Source organism: Homo sapiens, chromosome 6, assembly GCF_000001405.40.
Source record: "Homo sapiens chromosome 6, GRCh38.p14 Primary Assembly".
NCBI lineage: Eukaryota > Metazoa > Chordata > Mammalia > Primates > Hominidae > Homo > Homo sapiens.
This window is the reverse complement of record NC_000006.12, coordinates 108,860,135-108,880,999: the sequence shown is the minus strand read 5'-3', so window position 1 is coordinate 108,880,999 and position 20,865 is coordinate 108,860,135. Positions and strand designations below refer to the sequence as shown.

The following is a 20,865-nucleotide window of genomic DNA, read 5'->3' as shown; positions in this document are numbered from 1 at the left end:
CCTGTAATCCCAGCTACAGGGCAGGCTGAGGCAGGAGAATCGCTTGAACCAGGGAGGCGGAGGTTGCAGTGAGCCAAGATTGTGCCACTGCACTCCATCCTGACAATAGAGCTAGACTCTGTCAAAAAAAGAAAAAAAAGAGAAAAAAAGGAAGGAAGGAAGGAGGGAGAAAAGAGAAAAGGGAACACAGGAAGAAAGAAAGAGAGAGGAAGGAAGGAAGGAGAGGGAAGGGAACGGAAAGGGGGAAGGAAGGAAGGAGAAGAGGGAGAGGGAAGGGGGAAGGAAGGAAGGAGAGAAGAAAAAGAAAGGAAGGAAGGAGAAAGAAAAAGGAACACATTGGTTCACAAAACAGTATTCTACAATGTTGATGTGGTGGCTTCAGGCACAGCTGGATCTAGAGGTTTATATGTCATCCTCGAACTTGATCATTATCTTCGTTCCTTGCTCTTTTTGTTTATGTACCACTTCCCTCTCAGCATCTCTCTCCATAAGGCTGTGAAAAGGCCACTGTCAGCTCCAAGACCACATCATCTTTATAGTTTGTGAACCTGGAGAAAGAGCACTTTCCCCAAAGGCCTTGGTGAAAGTCCCATGAAGGAATGCAACTGGCCTGGCTTGGATCATGTGCCCATCTCTGAATCAACTGCTGTAGCTGGGGTTGGCAAACTCTGATTAGCCAGCCCTGGGCCACATAACCACCCCTGGGAGGGACACAGGGAAGACAGGGCTAACCCTTCTCCAAATACGGACTGAGCAGCATTTATTACACAATGTGAGAAGGCCTGTTTGCTAGACAGACCAACAAAAATCAAGCCTATACTGCAGTGTAAAGTTTGCTTCATGTTGTGTAGTTCAGGGTCGTAGCCATTTTTTTGTTGTTGTTTCATTGATGAAATTTACTTCTCTGTTTTTCATTCTTTGCTGCTTTCATTGGATTACTGGAGAATGCCTTTGTGCCTTTAACCAGAAGCCCTCTTTTCTTATTTTTGATTCCAACAATACTAAGAGCACTCGATAGTTTATTAGTAAGGCTTTCAAGCCTTAGTCATCATTCCACAATCTACAGTGAGGGCTAGAAGGAGATGGGAGTAAAAGAGCAGAGTTATTTCCATTTTATACATTAGAAAACTGAGCCCCTGAAAGTGTTAAGATACTTGCCAAATACAGCTAAATCAAGTGGCTGAGAGAGAACCAAACCTAAATCCAGAGATTCTGGCTCCTCAGGAACAGTCCCTGATTCTCCATAACAACTGGCTGTTCTTGGGCTTTCCTCCTAAAGATCCCATTTCCAAACCATGATAGTTTGAACGTTTACATGGAAAGCCTTAACAGATTTTTTAAGCAGGTAAAGAGATTCATCTGCTTTGAAAGAGATTCCATGGATGGATGGATGGATGGATGGATGGACGAACAGGTGGGTGAATAGATAGATGGATGACTGCGTGGGTGGGTGGGTGGGTGGGTGGATGGATAGATGGGTAGATGGGTGGGTGGATAGGTTAATGAATAGATGGATGAATGGATAAATGGGTGGATGGATGGGGGATGGGTGAATGGGTGCATGGATAGGTGGATGGGTGGATGAATGGGTAGATGGGTATATGGATGGATGAATGGATGGGTGGATAGGTGGATGGGTAGGTGCTAGCTGCATGGGTAGACAGATGGGTAGATATATGGATGGGTGGATGGGTAGATGGATGGATAGATGGATGGATGAATGGATGGGTAGACAGGTGGATGGATGGGTGAATGGGTGGATGGATGGGGAGATATATGGATGGGTGGATGGGTAGACAGATGGATAGGTGGATAGGTGGGTGGATGGGTGAATGGGTGGATAGATGGGTAGATATATAGATGAGCGGATGGATGGATGGATGGATGAATGGATGGGTGGATGACAGATGGGTGGGTAGGTAGACGGATGGGTGGGTGGATGGGCAGATGAGTGGATGAGTAGATGGGTGAATGGGTAGATGGACAGGTGGATGGGTATGTGGATGGATGGATGAATGGACAGTTGGATGGGTGGATGAATGGGTGTCTGGGTGGATGTATGGGTAGATATGTCGATGGCTGGATAGGTAGATGGGTGAATGGGTGGATGGATGGATGGAGAATACACACATTTTGTTAATGGCAGCTGCATTACTTTCAATCCATATAGTAATACAAAGCAAGTGATGGTGAAGTATTCCTGAGGAGCAAGTCTGCCAGACCTTAAATGAATCCCTAAATGGGCATATGGAGACTATCATAACTGACACAAGGTTTGAGGATGACAGTTCCGTAAGTGCTTGACAGTGTGTTCTCTTTTGTAAAGTTAAATAGTCCTCTAAAGCATTGTTTACAATGATACTTTGTTTAGCAAATCCTTTTTCCACCATAACCAGCATAAAGTTGAACTCCATTCCATCCATATTCAGATATTCCATCAATATCTGAATTATCCATATTATAAATGAGGGTATACAATTATTGCAGTTTCATGGAAACAAAATGCTCCTTCCTCTCCCAGCCAGATAAACACACACCACACAGGTGACCGCTGTCACACTGGACAAGCCTGCAAGGCCCCCACACTGGGAGTGTGGCCTCACCCACTCTCTCCCCTTTCCACGGTCTACTTACACACTCCTTCTCAACCCTCCCTGCTCCTGCCAGCCCAGCTCACTGACAATTGCCACTTTATGGTCTAAAGATGAAAAAATGTTAATTGAGGGAAGGGCTCTACCATCAAAACTGGGAATACTCCACTGCATAGCAAAGATCATTTCTTGGAATTAGTCACTTAAATGTTTACAAGAAACAATTATCAAGTGTCCCAGACTGATTCATTAACATCATTAATGAAAGAATTGCTAAGAGTTTCTGTTTTTTGGTTTATTTTAATCCTACTACGTAAACTTTTTTTTGGCACCACTCCAATAAAATTCCACCCAACGATTAAAGGAGGTAAAGATTCATAAAGCAAAAAATGTTACTGAAAGTTAACCTTGCCAGGGTACATTGCAAACCCAACTTAGACACAATCCTTATATGATGCAAAAGCCGTCCTAACAAAACACAAAGAAAACAATTAGTGCTATTGCCAATGCCTCATAATTTTGGACAGTGAGGAAGAAGTGCTAACTGATTTGTCTTTTGCTGTTTGTGGGATAAAATATATAAATGAAAATGCCCCTGCTGTCCCAGAATGAGGAAGACATAATGAACTCTGGCTTTCCAGATTATTCTGCCACATCTGAAGGTTTGCAAATAAACAAATTAAATAGCTCTTGTCTGGTTTTTCTAGTCAACTTTCATTACTGTAAGGATGGATGCAGCAAGATAAATGTTTCCTTTTTACTTCAGTACTGAAAGAAACACAAGTTTTCCTGCTGCCTTTTATGTTTAAGCTCTGAGGTCCACAGCCTATTCTTATTCACCAACTGGAAACGATTTGTCTGCAATGGCCAGTTTGATGTTTTCTACTCAACTCCCAAAGTCCCAATTTGAAGTCGTTCTCTTCCACTTAAGGAGACATTTCATTTTTCCTTTAATTTAAAAAAATGTTCTGAATGTGAAATGACATTACAAGGACTACTAGATTGCTTAATATAAATTCCGTATGTGTGACACTCTTCAGGCTGTGTCAGCAGACAAGGTCGGTTCAGCTAAACAAGCTGGCAAGCAGCCACTTGGGGGAAAAGTTTTAAGCATGCTACATGTGTCCAAGCCAAAGTCAGACCCGAAATCTAACGTGAGTGTAAGAAATACTTGATCTTAAAATGGCCCATGGAATTTAATCTTGTTAAGCAAATCTGAACCGGGCAGTTATCCATGATGACCCAATGGAAAGTCCTAGAAAAAAATATCTTAAACTGAGTGACCTTGTCCAGTTCAAGACATTCTGCCTCTCTTAGCATCATTACTGGCTGGGACTGGAAAACAGAGCCTGTTCTCTCCACTGTTTCCCCCATTCCAGCCACCAAATACTCAAGGTTTCTTCAGTAAAATACCAGGGTAAGAATTCACAGTCCAAACAGCAAGCATTTCTCCACAGATCCTTAATATGGTAGGAAGATTGATTCTCAAGGAAACCCTATCTAGGAACATGGTATGAAATAAAGCAATTCCCAATCATTCATTTATGAGGGGCCAATGGAGGGATCTCACAGATAACTGAAATCTACAGGACTCTTCTGTTTTAGCCATTAGTTTGCAAAATAAATATTTAATCCAAGATCTACTGAAGAATAAAATAAGTGTCCACTCTTGTGGAGTTAAGGACTGTGAACTAACCCAAAGGGAGATAATAGGAGATTCCAGGCCATGCAAGAATCCCAAATAACATACAAACGGAATGATCAGTCATCACTCAAGGGATGGCTGGAATAGTCCAACTAAATCTTATTCTGATAGTCCTACAGAAGCAGCACTTTGACAGTCATGAATAAAAGTGTTCTTGAGTATTATATAAGGAATGATACAAAAATCAACTCCATTTGGCCATGAGAAGTAGTCTCTCCTATTCATGTACCCTTAACATAAAATTTGCTTACATAAAAGAGAAAAAGCAAACCAATCATCTATATAAAATAGAGAAGAAACTGGTAAATGATACCATTATCCTGACCAGAAAATTAAATAAAAAGAATACTGACCCTCCATTCTTGAGATGAGATGGTAAAGATGTTGTTCCTTTGAACATTTCTTGCTCCTTTATTTCACTGAAGCCTCCATCATCAGTTAGCTGAAGTGGGTGACTCTTTAAGTGGCAAATAGCATTTGATTTTGTTAAATAAATCCCATTTATTTTCACCATAGAGTCCCCCATCATAACTGTTTCTTTGGATTCCACTGTCTTCTTTGCTGCAATATAACCAAGAAAATATTTTGTTGAAGTATTCTTATTTTAGGAATCACTACCTTTCAATGTTATTTTTCAATCTAAGAATTTATATGATTTAAAAGTTATACATTGCTTATAATTAAGTCTGGAATTTTATGGCCAAAGCCTTTCTGAGCATACACAAGACCAGTATCTTAAGTCTGGCACCATCAATTCTGCAGGTAAAAATGTATAGAATCTTATCTCTACCAGCTTAGAGTCTACTTGAAGGCAAACACGCAACTTCAGGCTCATAAACTACCTAGTCCACATAAGTACTTCCGTGTCCCATAACAGCAGCTCTTCCTCCTGAATTTGATCACATAATTTTTCATTCAAAAAATATTTACTGAGTGGCTCCCCCATGTCAAACACTGTCCTAGGTACTTGGTGTGCATCAAAATAGATCTCTGATCTCACAGGGCTTACAACCTAATCAACAGAAAATAAGCAATAACCATAATAAATAAGGTATACGACATGTTATAAGATAATAAGTGCTATGGAAAAAAAGCAAAGTATAAAAGTAGGGAAGGCTCAAGGGGATTGGGAATAGGGTGGGTACAGCAGGGTAGGGAGGACAAACCCTTTATGGAGTGAGGCATCCAGCCACCAGGGCCAGTATTTTCAGCACAGAGACCAGCTGGTATGGAGGCTCTAAGGTAGGCTGAAGTGGGGGACTCTTCAGCACCCACTGTGCCTGGGGTGCTCAAGGAATAGCAGGAATGCAGTGTGCAAGGAGGCAAAGAGGAGGAGAGGTGATTAGAGGGGTGAGGGGTGGATTGTGGAGGCCCAGCCTAGTAGACCACACTACTCTGCAATGGAAAGGAGAGGGCATTGAAACATACCTCTAAAGAGGTATAAGACAGAGTTGCAAGAAGATATCCTTTTTGCTCATGACTGCAGATTCTTAGACATATAATAATATAACATTTCCCTTATCAGCAAATTGGTATTAGGAATAGCTTATTGTCCATGCTGCTACAAGGCTGTAGTCTGTGAGAAAACATTTTGTTAAAGGGGAAGAGAGTAAATCTCCCATAATACAGTGTGCGGGGGTGGGGATGAGCTGCATGTAGAAAAATACTTACTGTTTTGCAAGATTTTTCAAAATGACTCAAGGTTTCCTTTCCTTTTCTGTACTTACTAAGAAACCAACAAACCAATAAAAACTAATAATAACAAAACCACCTATTCTACCCCTCTGACCAAACTCCCTGCTTTCAAAACGCTAAATTTTAAAACTGAAAGGAACCTTAGAGATTCTAGGCTTCTTTTTTTTTTTTTTAAGATGAGAAAATTGAGAACCCAAAGATTAAATGTCCTGTCTAAGGTCACAGGGAGAGCCAGGACCACAGGGTGGGAAGAACACAGGCTTTGGCTCAGACTTGGGTTCGAGTGCAGGCCCCCCGGGGCACCCACTCTGTGATGTGGATGCTCAATTCACACCACCTTCCATGGTCCCCACCTCTTGGGGATGTGGTGAGATTTTAAATGATGTGGCCTAGTAAAGTGACTTACATGGTGCTAGCACGCTCAAAACCTAGAAGTTATTGTCATGATTATTGGAACCCAAGAATCCTGACTTCTGGGCTAGGGCTCTCTCCATATCACCACACCACCTTAAATGACTTTACTACTGAATTATGAAGCACACATTCTGTTTCCGATTACAAAGTATTTTTAGCCTACCGTTATCTTTTAGCATTCGTTTCTCTCATTCATTCACTCCCTGAATATTTATTAAGCACCCACGACTATGTGCCAGGTGCTGTTTACTGCACGGGTGAAGCCATGGTGAACAAGTCCCAGCCATCATGGAGCTTCTAGAAGGGAAACCCAACCATACCTATAGGTCAAGGAGCTATACCTGTCTATCTTCAAATCTACTGGAGTAAGCTTGTCAGGTATTACTACAACGAAGAGCTGCCCTGGGGGGCTCACTCTCATTCCTGATGAATGTCCTCGATGAAACTGAGCATGTGTAACTATGGTCTGTATCTTCTCGGTAGACAGTTGCAGCACATTATATGAATTTTGTAATGGATCGTGGGTAAACTTCAAAAGGAGACAGCTCCCAGCAGCCTTACCACACAGGACCAGTTCAGGTTCACAAATATTTATTTGATACCTGTTATATACCACACCCTGTAATAGGCTCTTGGGCAACAAACAGAGAAAAACACTTTTCTTAATGACGTTGCTCTATCTAGCAGGGGAGACAAAGGGGGCAGATGTGTAAAGAGATAAATGAAGCCCAGTGTGACCCCAGCCAGGTAAGGAGGGGGCAGAGAGAGTGGAGAAAGCTTGAGGGGTTGGGAGTTGGTCAGAGAAAGCTTCACAGAGGAGGTGGGGGCTGAGAAGCATTTTGAATGGTTAATAAGACGTAAACAGCTTGAAGAAAAGAGAACAAAAGTCTGGAGTGAAAGCCAGCTTCAAGTGTGTATTGCCAGTACAGTCAGGCAGGGCCCCAGTTTTAGAAGGGCCTATACTTGTTTTAAGGCTCTGCTGTGGCTATCTTGAAACTCTTAATAATTTTTGAACAAAGGGCCCCACATTTCCATTCAGCATTGGGCCCAGCAAATTACATAGGTTCTCCCTGAGGCTTGAAACAGCAGGGTGGGTGTGGTGAACAACAAGGGGTTCCACCCTGCCGGTGCACCCACCGTGAGGGGGCAGGCCCAGGACAGGCGTGAGCAGGGCCTGGAATGTTACGCTGGGGCTGGATCACAACACAGCTGTGCACTTGGAGGTGCTGGGATGTCATCCCCCGCCACCCCCACCAGAGCTCAGCAAACTACAAACCCCACCAAATCTGCCCTATCTCATTTTCGTATAGCCTGCAAACTAAGAACGGTTTTTGTATTTTTAAATGGTTAGAAAAAAAATCAAAGAAAGAACAATATTTTGTGACAAGTGAAAATTACATGAAATTCAAGTTTCAGTGGCCATAAATTGGTGGATGGCTGCTTCCATGCTACAATACAAAACGGAGGAGGCTGAGCAGAGACCATAAGGACCAGGTCTAAAATATTGACTATCTGGCCCTTTACAGAAAAAGTTTGCCAACTTCTACAGTAGGCTAGTGTTTCCCAAATTGTGTTCCCAAAAGACAGATCCCACAGTCCAGCAGGTTTGTGAAATGCTGTGTTGAATTAAAATTAAACAGATTTCTCCACCAACACTTTAATACGCTCATGTGCAGAGACTCTCCAAGAAGATGAGGGGTAGGCAGTGTTTCCCTGACCTATTTGAGCACTGAACCCTTTTTCCAAAGAGAAGCTATTAACATTTTGCCAAAAGTGTTCCCTGGAGTTCCCTGGAACTCAGTTTGGCAAACACTTCTGTAGGCACAACAGGGCCTCTGAAGGGTTTTCAGCAAGAGGGTGGTGCAATCTGATCTTTATTTGCTTCCCGACCTCTTGTGCTTTATGGAACACACAGAAAATGATCATTTTTCATGGTCCCCTGGGATAAAGGGATAAGGCTGCTGCTCACAGCCATGTCGTGTTGGGAGCTCAGCATCCTCAGGCTCCACTGGCTGTTCCTCTGGCTGAGGGCCTCGCATCCACCCACCTGCAGACCATCACAGCACCCCAGTGAGCAGACGGTGGTTTAAGAGCAGCAAAACAGGATGAGGCAAGAGGGATGGAGGCAGCATGGCGGTGGTGAGGGAGAATGCAGACTCGAGAGCTAGTCAGGAAGCACGTGTAGGGCTTGGTGACGGAGAGTGTGACAGGGATGGCTGAGGAGGTGGTACTGCTCTCAGGCCTCTTGTCTGGCTTGAATAACTGGGGAAGCATTCACAGCAGTGCCACCTCCAGCCAAAAACCCTGTGTGAACGCAAAGCAGTTATACTGCTGGCCTTTTGGAGATGACTACACAAATCTCTTCCTCTTTCACTGTCTTGAAGCAGGAATTCCAAACCTGCCACCACACCCCGGCCCTGCCTGTGGGGTAGCATCAGCCACAAATGACTTCACAGCAAACAAAGGGATGCCCTCCATTTCTGCAGCCTCAGTTACTCCACAAAGCCTACCTCTTCTAAACAATAGAGAAGATCTGAAATGAAACCCAGGGAGCTCTTATACAAATGACAATGATTCCAAGGCTGGAGAGCTCAAATATTTTTTATAACTTTATAATTGGATGACATGTGCTTTTAAAATAACAATGACTTTTTGTTGCCAGTATTTCCTGAATGCTGGCCCAGACCTCAGGGATGACCTGAATGGTGAAGAGGGGTGACTGCAAACAGGGTGGATAAAAGAACCACGATGAAAACATGCTTCAGTGCACCTTGGAGGTGTGAAGCTGGCCTCAGTGCTGGGAAATCACAGCTGCAGAGGGCACCTCCCAGAGCATGCAGACAACAGGCAGGTACCCCAGCGGGGAAGGAGCTAAGCCACTGGGGAAGCACTGAGGAGGGGGATGGTGGGCAAAGCATTCATCTCTGTGGTCACTTTCACATCAGTGTGTACCTCAGCAAGCAGCAGGGTTTTCTAGCATGCACTCCCAAAAGTTAAAAATACATGAAACACACAGTATTCAACCTCACAAGCAAGAACACAGAATAAAAAACAAGGTATGAGTCCTTGCACCAATCCTGCCATCCTGTTCATAAGAAGTGCCCTTCACCTCCAGGTCCCAGCCCCTCTCATCTTGGCAAACCCTTTGTTCCTGCAATTACCAACCCTTTCTGATTTACCTGAGCTGACACGGGACTCGGGTTGCGGGGGGAGCGTTTGAAAAGCTCCTCAGGTGATTCTCATGGGCAGCTACAGCTGAGAACTGCTGTTGGTGAAAAAACCTACATCACATTGTCTCTCCCTTTGGTAAACCCTATCTTTTCACTACAAGTAAAACACAGCTGGGTGTGTTTTCCATATTCTGAGGCCCTGGGCAGTTCTGTGGCCTCAGCTCTCTCCAACTTCCCTTGATCAGCCACTTTCCAGCCACTGGACCTCCAGGTCCTCCACCACCAGCACTTGCTCTCGTGCCCGGTCATTGCACTCGCTTTTCCTTCCATGTGGACACTTGGTCCATGGATTTTTACATGGCTGCCTCCTTCTCATGAGGCACCTTCCTATTCAGCTGCCAGCTCCTCAAAGATACCTTTCAGAGCCACCTGAGCTAAAGCAAATTACCCCACCACAGTCACTCTCGAGTCCATTATCTTGTTTATCTTCTTCAGAGCATTCATCAGCACTCAAATTCTCTTACTTATTTGTTCTCCTGTCATTGTCTATCTCCTCTCACTAGATTGTAAGCTCTCTGAGGACAGAACTTTGTTGGCCTAGAATGGTGCCTGGCACTTAGTAGGAGTTTGATAAATATCAGATCGACTGGCAGTGTAAGAAAGGAAACAAATCGGGACATCAAGGTAAAGCAAGTTGCCTGATGATCTACTTGGTCATGGCATCACAGCATGAGGTACACACCCTGCACATCCTCATTGTCTTGTCTTTTCTCTTCTCTTTTCTTCCTTCCTTCCTCCCTCCCTCTCTTCTTTTTCTTTCCTTCTTTCCTTTTTTCTTTCCTTTCCTCCTTCCCTCTCTCCTTCCCTCTCTTCCTTCCTTCCTTCCTACCTTCCTTTCTCTTTCTGTCTCTCTCTTTCTCTCTCTCTTTCTTTCTTTTTCTCCTTTATTCTAACTCTTCAGCCACATCAGGGACCACACAGGCAAGTGAATGGCACAGGCTGGGGACATGGTGACTGCAGATCATATCCTGGCCACAGAATGGAGGTACCACTCAGCTCCGATCATGCCCCATTGTGGCTGCATGGAATGGGGACCCAGTGTTGCCAGATTTTCTGATTTTTCACAAGAAGTCATAAATCTGGATTCTTCCATGAGATTCTTCTACCTTTTAAATGTTGGAAATGAATTAAAAAAAAATACTTGTCTGTCAAGTATGATGCTCAGGTGGGGGCTGTGATCTTTGGTATGTATCTTCCAGGCTCTCCCCAATTCTCTGTGACTGTAAGCCTATCTCTCTTCATCAAATCTTGTTGATGGAGGGAGAACCAGTTCTGTCAGCTCCTGGTAAAGTGGTTTCCACTTTTTTTGACCACACACAGTCAGAAATCAGTTTGTAATATGACCCTGAACACACACTGAAGACCGAAGTAAAGTCTCTTGAAGCAATACTTACCCCTATCGTGTGTCATGTATTCTGACATTTTCTATTATATTCTATTCTACTTCATTTTTTAAAAATGCTGGTGTGATCCACTAAATTGATTGTCATCCCACTTCTGGGTCCTTTTCCACAGTTTGAGAAACCCTTAGTATGCCCTGGATGGGGAGTGATTCCAATTGTTGGTGGGACTCCTCAGGCTGTGATCTTTAGCCTCTCTGTTCCCAGGTTTAGGTGCCTGGCAGCAATTCTCAGGCAGTAGAAGTCCCATTCAAATTTTGCTTACATGCTCACACGGGATCAGAAGGGCATTCTCAAAGAAATAAGCTTAATGTGCATTATAAGAATCTTATCATTTTCATTAATTTCTAATAAAATTAACAACTTTTTGAACTCTAATTTAAAAATCATTTATTTCTAATATACATGAACCATCCACTAGGGAATACTTATCCTAATATTCTTTTTTTTCTTTTTTGTTGAGACAGTCTTGCTCGTCACCCACGCTGGGGTGCAGTGGCACGATCTCAGCTCACTGCAACCTCCACCTCCTGGTTTCAAGCACTTCTCCTGCCTCAGCCTCCCGAGTAGCTGGGATTACAGGCACGTGCCACCACACCCAGCTAAGTTTTGTATTTTTAGTAGAGACAGGGTTTTACCATGTTGGCCAGGCTGGTCTCGAACTCCTCATCTCAGGTGATCTGGCCGCTTTGGCCTCCCAAAGTGCTGGGATTACAGGCATGAGCCACCGCGCCCAGTCACTTATCCTAATTTCCTTTTCCTACCAACTGTAATATTTAGGTATTCCTTATAAGCACCCAGAAAAATATATGAACAATGTTTCTTAGCCAGCTTTTGCCCAATATTAACTAATCTTAGTTAATATAAAAATCATCCAGGGTTAGGAAAAATCATATAAAATTAGCTTTTGTGTGCAAATTCAAGAAGCATGCCTGTCCCCAGAGATTACAGGATGTTACATGGCCTTACAGTCGGAGGGAGGAAGGGATCTGTCCGGCAGAAGGGCCCGCTGGGAGGCAGCCCTGAATAAGCGAGCCCTGGCGTTGCTTACTCTTCTAATCTTCGCAGGGTCCACTGGGGGCTTAGGAAAGGAAAAGCAGGAATCCTCCTCTCTGGTGGGAGATGCTGGAACTTTCGGTTTCTGGAAAGAGATTTTTTTAAATAACTGGAATGACTTTCTGCGTCTCAAATAACACTTACCTCAGAGCTGGCCACAACCCTTCCAGAAGAGCACAAGGCCTATCTGCCTGCCTTCATCTTGGCTTCCTGATTCTACCAACTCACTGGCCCATCTTACATAATGTGATATATGTATACATAAAGCACTTTTTAATTGTTTTTCTTAATCATATTGTATTAACTACTCTGCTGTGCTATTACCATACTTGAGTAAAACAGTTTACCCATGCTAGCAAACAGATATTATCTGTATAAAAGACTACAAAATTGGCCGGGCGCAGTGGCTCATGCCTGCAATCCCAGCACTTTGGGAGGCCGAGGCAGGTGGATCACTTGAGGTCAGGAGTTCAAGACCAGCCTTACCAATATGGTGAAACCCCATCTCCACTAAAAATACAAAAATAGGCTGGGCATGGTGGCGCATGCTTGTAGTCCCAGCTACTCAGTAGGCTGAGGCAGGAGAATTGCTTGAACCCAGGAGTTGGAGGTTGCAGTGAGCCAAGACTGCACCACTGCACTCCAGCCTGGGTGACAGAGCAAGACTCCATCCCGCCCCCCCACCCCCAAATAAAAAAAGACTACAAAATTACATATAGCATATTCAACATGCTTTAAAAATTTCTGAGTTCAATTCAGTTCAGAAAACATTTGTTGAGTACCTACATGTACCAAGAATTATGTGGAATGTAAGTGGTACATTTACATATTTTGGATGCCACAAATGTATTTTTTTAATGATATCAAAATTTTTAAATAAGTTAGGTGGAAAAGTCATAAAACATAAAAGCAAAAAGTTGTCTTGGACTTATGAAAGTGTTTTGTTTCTATTTATTGATTTATTTATTTATTTTGAGATGGAGTTTCACTCTTGTCACCCAGGCTGGAGTGCAATGGTGCGATCTCGGCTCACTGCAACCTCCGCCTTCCGGATTCAAGTGATTCTCCGGCCTCAGCTCCCGAGTAGCTAGGATTAAAGGAGCTTGCCACCACACCCAGCTAACTTTTTTTTTTTTTGAGATGAAGTTTCACTCTTGTTGCCCAGGCTGGAGTGCAATGGCACGATCTTGGCTCACCGCAACCTCCGCCTCCCAGGTTCAAGCGATTCTCCGGTCTCAGCCTCCCAAGTAGTTCGGATTACAGGCATGCACCAGCACACTTGGCTAATTTTTTTTTTTGTATTTAGTAGAGACAGGGTTTCACCCTGTTAGTCAGACTGGTCGCGAACTCCTGACCTCAGGTGAGCCACCTGCCTTGGCCTCCCAAAGTGCTGGGATTACAGCCGTGAGCCACTGTGCCCAGCCGAAAATGTTTTATTTTTTACATCTCAGAAATTCTATGCTGATACTCCCTATTTTTTCCCCCATCTTTTCTTAAGTGTCGATGCTGATACTCTTAGTAGAGGAACATTACTAACAAAATTCTAATTCCTTAAAAACTTTAAAAAAAACACCTGCACCAAGTTCTGTGCCACCCAGAACTCCCTCTAATCTGAGTGGCCTCCGACCTGATGCCAGACCCTCACAGGGTGACTCAGCTCCTAGTTTTACAGTTGCCTGGTGGTCTTATCCTTCCTGCCTCCAATGTCAGCACAGTTATTTGCCTATGAAAGAACAACCTTATGGCAGCAAGTGTTTTTAGCTCTAACCAAAAATAATCAAGTTAACATTCCTAAAGTCACTTCTATAACATGTGAATGAGTGAGTCACTATCCAATAAGTTAATCAACAAATTTTTGAAACATCCAGTGTGAAATTCAAGTCATATAATTTGGAAAATTGGGTGATGTCATTTATCACGTATGACGCATAATCCCAAACACTTGTTTTCCCACATACATGAATAGAACATAGACATCTATATTAGGGTGTTCCTTCCAAGAAGTTGTTCATTTCAATAATGATGACATTCTTCAAAATGTTTATTTCCTCTTGTTCATTTGTATTTAGGATCGATTTATAAACCAGACCAAAAAAATTGTTCTATGATATTAAAGACACATTTTTCTAACACAGTTAGAAAAAAACAGTAAATAAAATAATCATCATAATATGGAAGAAAGCATAAATCACTTTTGGAGACCTGGAGAAGGACCCACTCACTAGTTATGTGAACTTGTGCAGGCCATTTACTTCTCTGAAACTGCCCAGCTATAACACAGAGACAGTAGTCTCCTTCTTACAGGGCCATTCCCATAAACACAATTCCTATTATGGAAGCTCAAGAAATGCCAGTTCCCTTCCCCATGTAAGTTGCTCACCCCTTATTTATCAGGTTTGGTTCCAAGTTACTTTTAACTCCTCTCATAGTCAAGGCCCTAGCCTCTGACGCAGGCTTGTTAGAATTAAGATATTGGATTCTGAGGGGTCTGTTCTGAAGGAGGTAACACTTGTTTGTCTGCATAAGTTGCACTATATTTGTTTAACAAGTAATCACTTTACTTTTTAGCCTCCCCACTTTGTTGCAAAATAATCATAGGAATGTTACTTAGGCCATGAAGCTAATAGGAACAGAAAAGCTAAGACTGTAATACAGGAAAATAGGTGTTTTCTGTGCAATTATGAAAAATGAAATATAGAGGGTAATCTCAATTTTGAAGATAGACGTGTGGTTTTCTTAACTCAAAATGTCTGTATTCTGCAGGTACCCTGAAACTGAAACAAAGATCAAGAAATCTGTCAACTAACAATCATGCAGACAAAGTAAACAGCTCCTTCTACAGACACCCAAACTGTACTAAATGAGAGATCTTTTTTTTTTTTTTTTTTTTTTAAGACAGGGTCTCATTCTGTCACCCAGGCTGGAGTGCAGTGGTACGATCATGGCTCACCACAGCCTTGACTTCCTGGTCTCATGCAATTCTCCAGCCTCAGCCTCCTGAGTAGCTGGGACTACAAGCATGCACCACCACACCCAGCTAATTTTTTATTTTTTGTAGAGACAGGGTCTCCCTATGTGGCCCAGGCTGGTCTCAAACTCCTGAGCTCAAAAGCTCTCCTGCCTTGGCCTCCCAAAGTGCTGGAATTACAGGCATGAGCTACCACACTCAGCCAAAAGATTTTATAAAGAGTGAAAATATGGTTTGGAAAGCAAATTTCCCCAAAAGAGAGTCACCGAATTTTCTCTGCAGGGCAAGAGCAAAGTCCCACAAATGCTCCTCAATAAAAGGCATTATTTTCTTAGTGCAAAATTAGTAACTGTATATAATAAAAATTCGGTTCCATTTTACTACTGACATTTAATAAATTATGTGTCCCATTTAAACACGCATCTCATGGGACTACTTAGAATATAAAGTGACATATGTAAAGCATTTTTAATTCTTTAAGAGAAAACAACTAAATGACTCAGCAATTTCTTTTATGCCAAGTTCTACAAAATGTTCTTTCACGCTGTGGAGTAAAATGACTTTTATAAAGAAAAACAGCAAACATGTTTCTCTTATAAAATTTGAATAATTTTAGAAATCAGAAAATGTTGCAAGTAAGTTTAAATTTTCACCTGAGGGCTAGGTGCGGTGGCTCATGCCTGTAATCCCAGCACTTTGGGAGGCTGAGGCGGGGGGATCACCTGAGGTCAGGAGTTCAAGACCAGCCTAGCCAACATGATGAAACCCCATCTCTACTAAAAATACAAAAATTACCCAGGCATGGTTGTGCATGCCTGTAGTCCCAACTACTCAAGAGGCTGAGGCAGGAGAATTGCTTGAACCTGGGAGGTGGAGGTTGCACCACTGCACTCCAGCCCAGGTGACAGAGGGAGACTCTGTCTCAAAAAAAAAAAAAAAAAAATTCACTTGAGAATATTAACTACCTCACATTTTGTTTCCTGACACTAACCCATGACTTGAGTATAATCAAGGACACAGACACAGTCATATTTTAAGGTCTGTTCTGGCTGGTGGACCTGTTAGAGTCCATTGAGGACACACAGTCTATTTCCATAGGACAACCCCGTCAAAGAAGACACAATACATAGAACGTTTAAGGTATCCATCAGGCTGACCACAATTCTTCCAAGCACCGTCACCTTGGCCAATTTCTGCCCTGGCTCTTCCAGATCACCCAACAGGGTCTCCCCCGATCCTATGTGACAACTGGAAAAGGGAGTTCAGGACATCTCACCCCAGAAAGGTGCTCACAATTTAATCTGTAAAGCAGCAGAACACACACACACAAACACACACACGCAACAAAAGACACCTTGAAAGTCAGAAAGCAAATATTAAACATTCTCGCAAGCCGCCAGGCGTGGTGGCTCATGCCTGTAATCCCAGCACTTTGGGAGGCCAAGGCAGGTGGATCACAAGGTCAAGAGATCGAGACCATTCTGGCCAACATGGTGAAACCCCGTCTCTACTAAAAATATAAAAATTAGCTGGGCATGGTGGTGGGCGCCTGTAGTCCCAGCTACTTGGGAGGCTGAGGCAGGAGAATCACTTGAACCCGGGAGGCAATGGTTGCAGTGAGCTGAGATCATGCCACTGCACTCCAGCCTGGTGACAGAGCAAGACTCCATCTCAAAAAAAAAAAAAAGAAAAGAAAAAAAAATCACACAAGCACAGAACCTTTGTGACGCGGCAGTTCTGTGTGCATTTCTATTAACTATGATTTTCTCCACAGGTACACTGGGGTCCTCTGTCACTCTTGGCATGTGACTCACTGTTGTAATGTCACTGTTTGCTTCAGCAATTGTGAAAGAAAAAACACTGCTTTGGCTCTACTCTACTTGTCTTACCCTGGATCGCCCATCCCCAAGGTTTATATGAGTTCCTAGGTCCCTTTCTTTTAAAAATATTAAATTTTGTTTCACTTATCAATTACCTGGAGCTCAGTTATGTGGCTCAAACTAATCCACGCTGTTAGAAGTGGGGCTGGTAGTTGCCCAGAGGAGGCAGTGGCTGAGAGGGGCCATGGTGGCGGATTCTGAGCCCAGAAATGATCAATTTGATGATGTTGGCAGTGATCTATTTTTTCCTTTTGAATGCTGGTTACTGAGTGTGTTTAGTTTGTGTAAATGTATCAAGCTGAATTCTTCTGTGTCAATAAAAAGTTGAACGAAAACATTTGGGGTTTACATCACTGGACTCGGTAAGTTTAGGAAACCAAGAAAATTCTATTTTGTTGACTAAAATAATGATGAAAGACAACACTTCCTGTGTATTCACATGGTCACACCTCTTTTCTGACTTTATACAATTCAAAGCAAGAGAGCAGTTATCTCTGTGTGAACGAAATTTGAACACCATCTAACTAGAGTAGAAGAAAAATGGAGTAACTATCACCCAACTGCCCCAGGTCTCAGTGCTCTTGTGGAGCAGCTGGGAGCTGCTAAGAAGGAAAAAAGACGTAAACTGGCACACCTATATAGCAGGTAGATATAAACGTTAATGAAAGACAACAAATCAGGCGGACATGGTGGTTCATGCCTGTAGTCCCAGCACTCTAGGAGGCCAAGGTGGGGGGATCACTTGAGGCTAGGGGTTTGAGACCAGCCTGGCCAACATGATGAAACCCAATCTCTACTAAAATTACAAAAATTAGCCAGGTGTGGTGGTGCACACCTGTACTGAGCCAAGATCATGTCATTGAACTCCAGCCTGGGTGACAGAGCGAGACTCTGTCTCAGAAAAAACAAAACAAACAAACAAACAAAACCCTACAAATCAGAGTGTTTCTGCTAACAGGAACCCCCTGGGCAAGTCGGGCTGGAGGGCAGGGCCTGAGCAATCAGGAACCACAAGCGTCAGCTCTTCCTCTTCTCAGAAGCACTGGGCAGTCCTGAGTGTGGGCAGCCCATTGCCCGCTGGAGGGTGAGTGGGGAGCACATGCCAGATAGGATGGGGAGAAAGAGAGAGGGCAGCTGTACAAAAGCAGCATTGAGCTAATCTGCTCAATGTAGGAGCTGAAAGGCTGCTGTCTGAGTCCCTGTTCCCTGACTGACTGCTGGTGGAGGACTTGTTAAAAGGCAAACTGGTCTGAAAAGTGTCCTAGATCCAAAAAGCACTGAGATTCAACTGGTTAGGTCCTCACAAACTCTTTCAGCAAATGTGTCCCTTAACTGTGAGACACTCCTCTGCCACTCTCTCTCCCTCTCTCTCCAGTTATCTCCTTCTCTCCACTCCCTCTCCCTTCCCCTATCTCTGCCCTTTGCCAATTTAGTGGTTATCAGAGGCAAAGAGTTCTTTAAAAAAATGAAGTGATAAAGAAGAAAAAAGGTGGAAGGTCAGGTAGCATGGGGACATTTTCAGAATTTTTTGACTGGGGGCCCCAAATTTTAATTACTATTTAAAATGAAATGTACTTAAGACCCTCACATAATCCACAATAACATCAACGACCACAATCTCAAATTAAGCAGTCACTTTCCTTAAAATGGGAACTTCTTAGACTACTTTTACTTTGCTTTTTGGTTTTGTTTGTTTTTTTTGTTTTTTTTTTTTTTTTGAGATGAGTCTCACTCTATTACCCAGGTTGGAGTGCAGTGGCACAATCTTGGCTCACTGCAACCTCTGCCTGCTGGGTTAAAGTGATTCTCCTGCCTCAGCCTCCAGAGTAGCTGGGGTTAGAGGCATGCGCCACCACACCTGGCTAATGTTTATATTTTTAGTAGAGACGGGGTTTCACCATGTTGGCCAGGCTGGTCTCGAACTCATGATCTCAGGTGATCTGCCCACTTCAGCCTCCCAAAATGCTGGGATCACATGCATGAGCCACTGAGCCTAGCCGTCTACTTTTACTGTGAACATAGCACCCAACCATTCAGAGGTATGGAAATTTAAGTTCAATGACCCTAAACAGATAAATGCCTATCTTGTCTTAGCCCAATAGCTAATTCTGCAGTCCAAGAACTGTACCAGTTTGACAAGGACCAGGTTATCTCTAGAAAATGAGATTCTTTTTAAGGGAAGGGTAAACCCAAACTGAGTCCCAAACTGAGTGAGTCCCCAAAAAACTACAGTAATATTAAAAGCAATTTACAGGAGTCAAACAACAGAATCATAGAATAAAGAGCCACTCTACAATAAGGTAGAGCCACCGAGCTGCCGAACTGGGTCCTCAGGCTGTAGCTGGCTCAAAACCCAAGTGGTTCCCAAGGTTGTAGACGTTAACAAGCCATGTGTCAACAATAGCTGGCAAATTATTTCTTGCAATATTGGTTCGTGCTTGCTATCTTGGGATCTTGTTTTTGTCATCTGCAATACATGAACAAGTATAATCTTCCTCACAGAGGCATTCTGATAAATACTTTAAAAATATAAGATACATTTTGAGGCAATTGGGGTCATTTGGACATGGACTATACATTAAATGATATTACTGAGTAATGTTAATTTTCTGAGCTATGATGATGGTATCATGGTTATGTAGGAGACTGTCCTTGTTCATATGAGATGCACACTTAAATTTTTGTGGATGAAGTATCACAATGTCTGCAACTTACTTTCAAATGGTTCATCCAAAACAAACATACATACAAGCACATGCGTGTGCACGCACACACACATACAAACACACATACACACAAACACAGAGTAACAGAAATTGAGAAGCGCTTGACTAACATACCAATCTCATAAAGCCTAGGGAACTGGTATCACCAAGTACTTTTGGTAGCAGAGGTAGAAGGGAAGGAGTGGCTAAAGTAAGGAGGATTAGCTGAAATTCTGTGTAATTCCATCCTTCCCAGCTCCATGCAGTCAGGCTACCAAAGCCAGAAGAAGATGGGTTTATTCTCTAAAGAAGGTAAAACAGAGGGTCTTCCTTAATTGAGGTCAATAAGTAAGGGTACTATTACTGTAAGTACCCTTATTGTTGAGGTCAGAGTACTTATTATAAACATGGATGTTAATTGAATATTTATATCCTAAATGCTGGGCATTCTCACCTTCTTCCTGCACCTGGAAGCTAGCAACCAGACTTTAACATCCAGGAAACAGCGTGGAAGATACTTCTTTACAGAGAATATAACTAGCCCATAAGAAAAGTCCTAAAGATACTGCCACTGGGGTGTCATCAACAACACAGCCCAGTCAGATCCCCCTAACTACAGGTGTGGGTAGATACCACCTATAGGTTGACCAACCTCAATCCACATGCCACTACTCTTTTTTTTTTTTTTTTTTTTGAGATGGAGTCTTGCTCTGTCGCCCAGGCTGGAGTGCAGTGGCGCGAACTCGGCTCACTGCAAGCTCCGCCTCCCCAGTTCAAGCCATTCTCCTGCCTCAGTCTCCTGAGTAGCTGGGACTACAGGCACCTGCCACCACACTCGGCTAATTTTTTGTATTTTTAGTAGAGACTGGGTTTCACCGTGTTAGGCAGGATGGTCTCGGTCTCCTGACCTCGTGACCCACCCGCCTCAACCTCCCAAAGTGCTGGGATTACAGGCATGAGCCACCGCGCCTGGCTGCCACTACTCTTAAGAACAGCCAAACAAACAGCATGAGGCATCAGAGGAAGTCTCTAGTGTAAAAAGCAGAGACAAAAATGCAACAGAGACTATAAAGGGAGAAGAAAACTTAGTTAAAAAATCAAAACTACCACTAATATACTCAGATAACATGCTACAACCATGAAATAAGAACAGACTACTATACAAAGAGATAATGTAGAGGGAAAAAAACTTTTGAAAATTAAAAATATGACAGCAGAAAT

At 43.1% G+C, this 20,865-nt stretch overlaps 2 protein-coding genes across 20 annotated transcripts in view, besides 1 other annotated feature; both read right to left on the bottom strand.

Annotated features, from left to right (window-relative positions):
• The window catches only part of ARMC2 (armadillo repeat containing 2), a 204,619-nt gene that overhangs the window by 172,041 nt on the left and 11,713 nt on the right, over positions 1-20,865 (bottom strand). For 16 of the 19 annotated variants that reach the window (XR_007059340.1, XR_007059341.1, XR_942600.1 and 13 more), the window contains 2 exons: positions 12,005-12,176; positions 4,650-4,857 (listed from right to left, as the gene is read on the bottom strand). Coding sequence is in view for 15 of the 19 variants with exons in the window: in XM_047419396.1 (XP_047275352.1) it covers positions 4,650-4,857; positions 12,005-12,176 (380 nt within the window). In the remaining 4 variants the exon portion in view is untranslated. Of the gene's footprint in view, positions 1-4,649; positions 4,858-12,004; positions 12,177-20,865 lie in introns of those variants that run through there. The other 3 variants (XM_011536172.3, XM_006715574.3, XM_047419397.1) reach the window with 3 other exon arrangements.
• Positions 1,500-4,643, bottom strand: LOC124901373 (guanine nucleotide exchange factor subunit RIC1-like). The gene has a single exon (XM_047419631.1). The coding sequence runs from the start codon at positions 2,436-2,438 to the stop codon at positions 1,500-1,502; it is 939 nt and encodes a 312-aa protein (XP_047275587.1). The 5' UTR covers positions 2,439-4,643.
• Positions 5,870-5,919: an enhancer, noted in NCBI's record as "active region_24917". NCBI's record gives its function as "activates an Ori minimal core promoter by ATAC-STARR-seq in GM12878 lymphoblastoid cells {active_cell/tissue: GM12878}" and the evidence as "EXISTENCE:reporter gene assay evidence [ECO:0000049][PMID:35858748]".

What these genes read in the sequence shown, in the direction of transcription:
- LOC124901373 (XM_047419631.1), bottom strand. Translation starts at nt 2,438, where the DNA reads ATGGAATATCTGAATATGGATGGAATGGAGTTCAACTTTATGCTGGTT.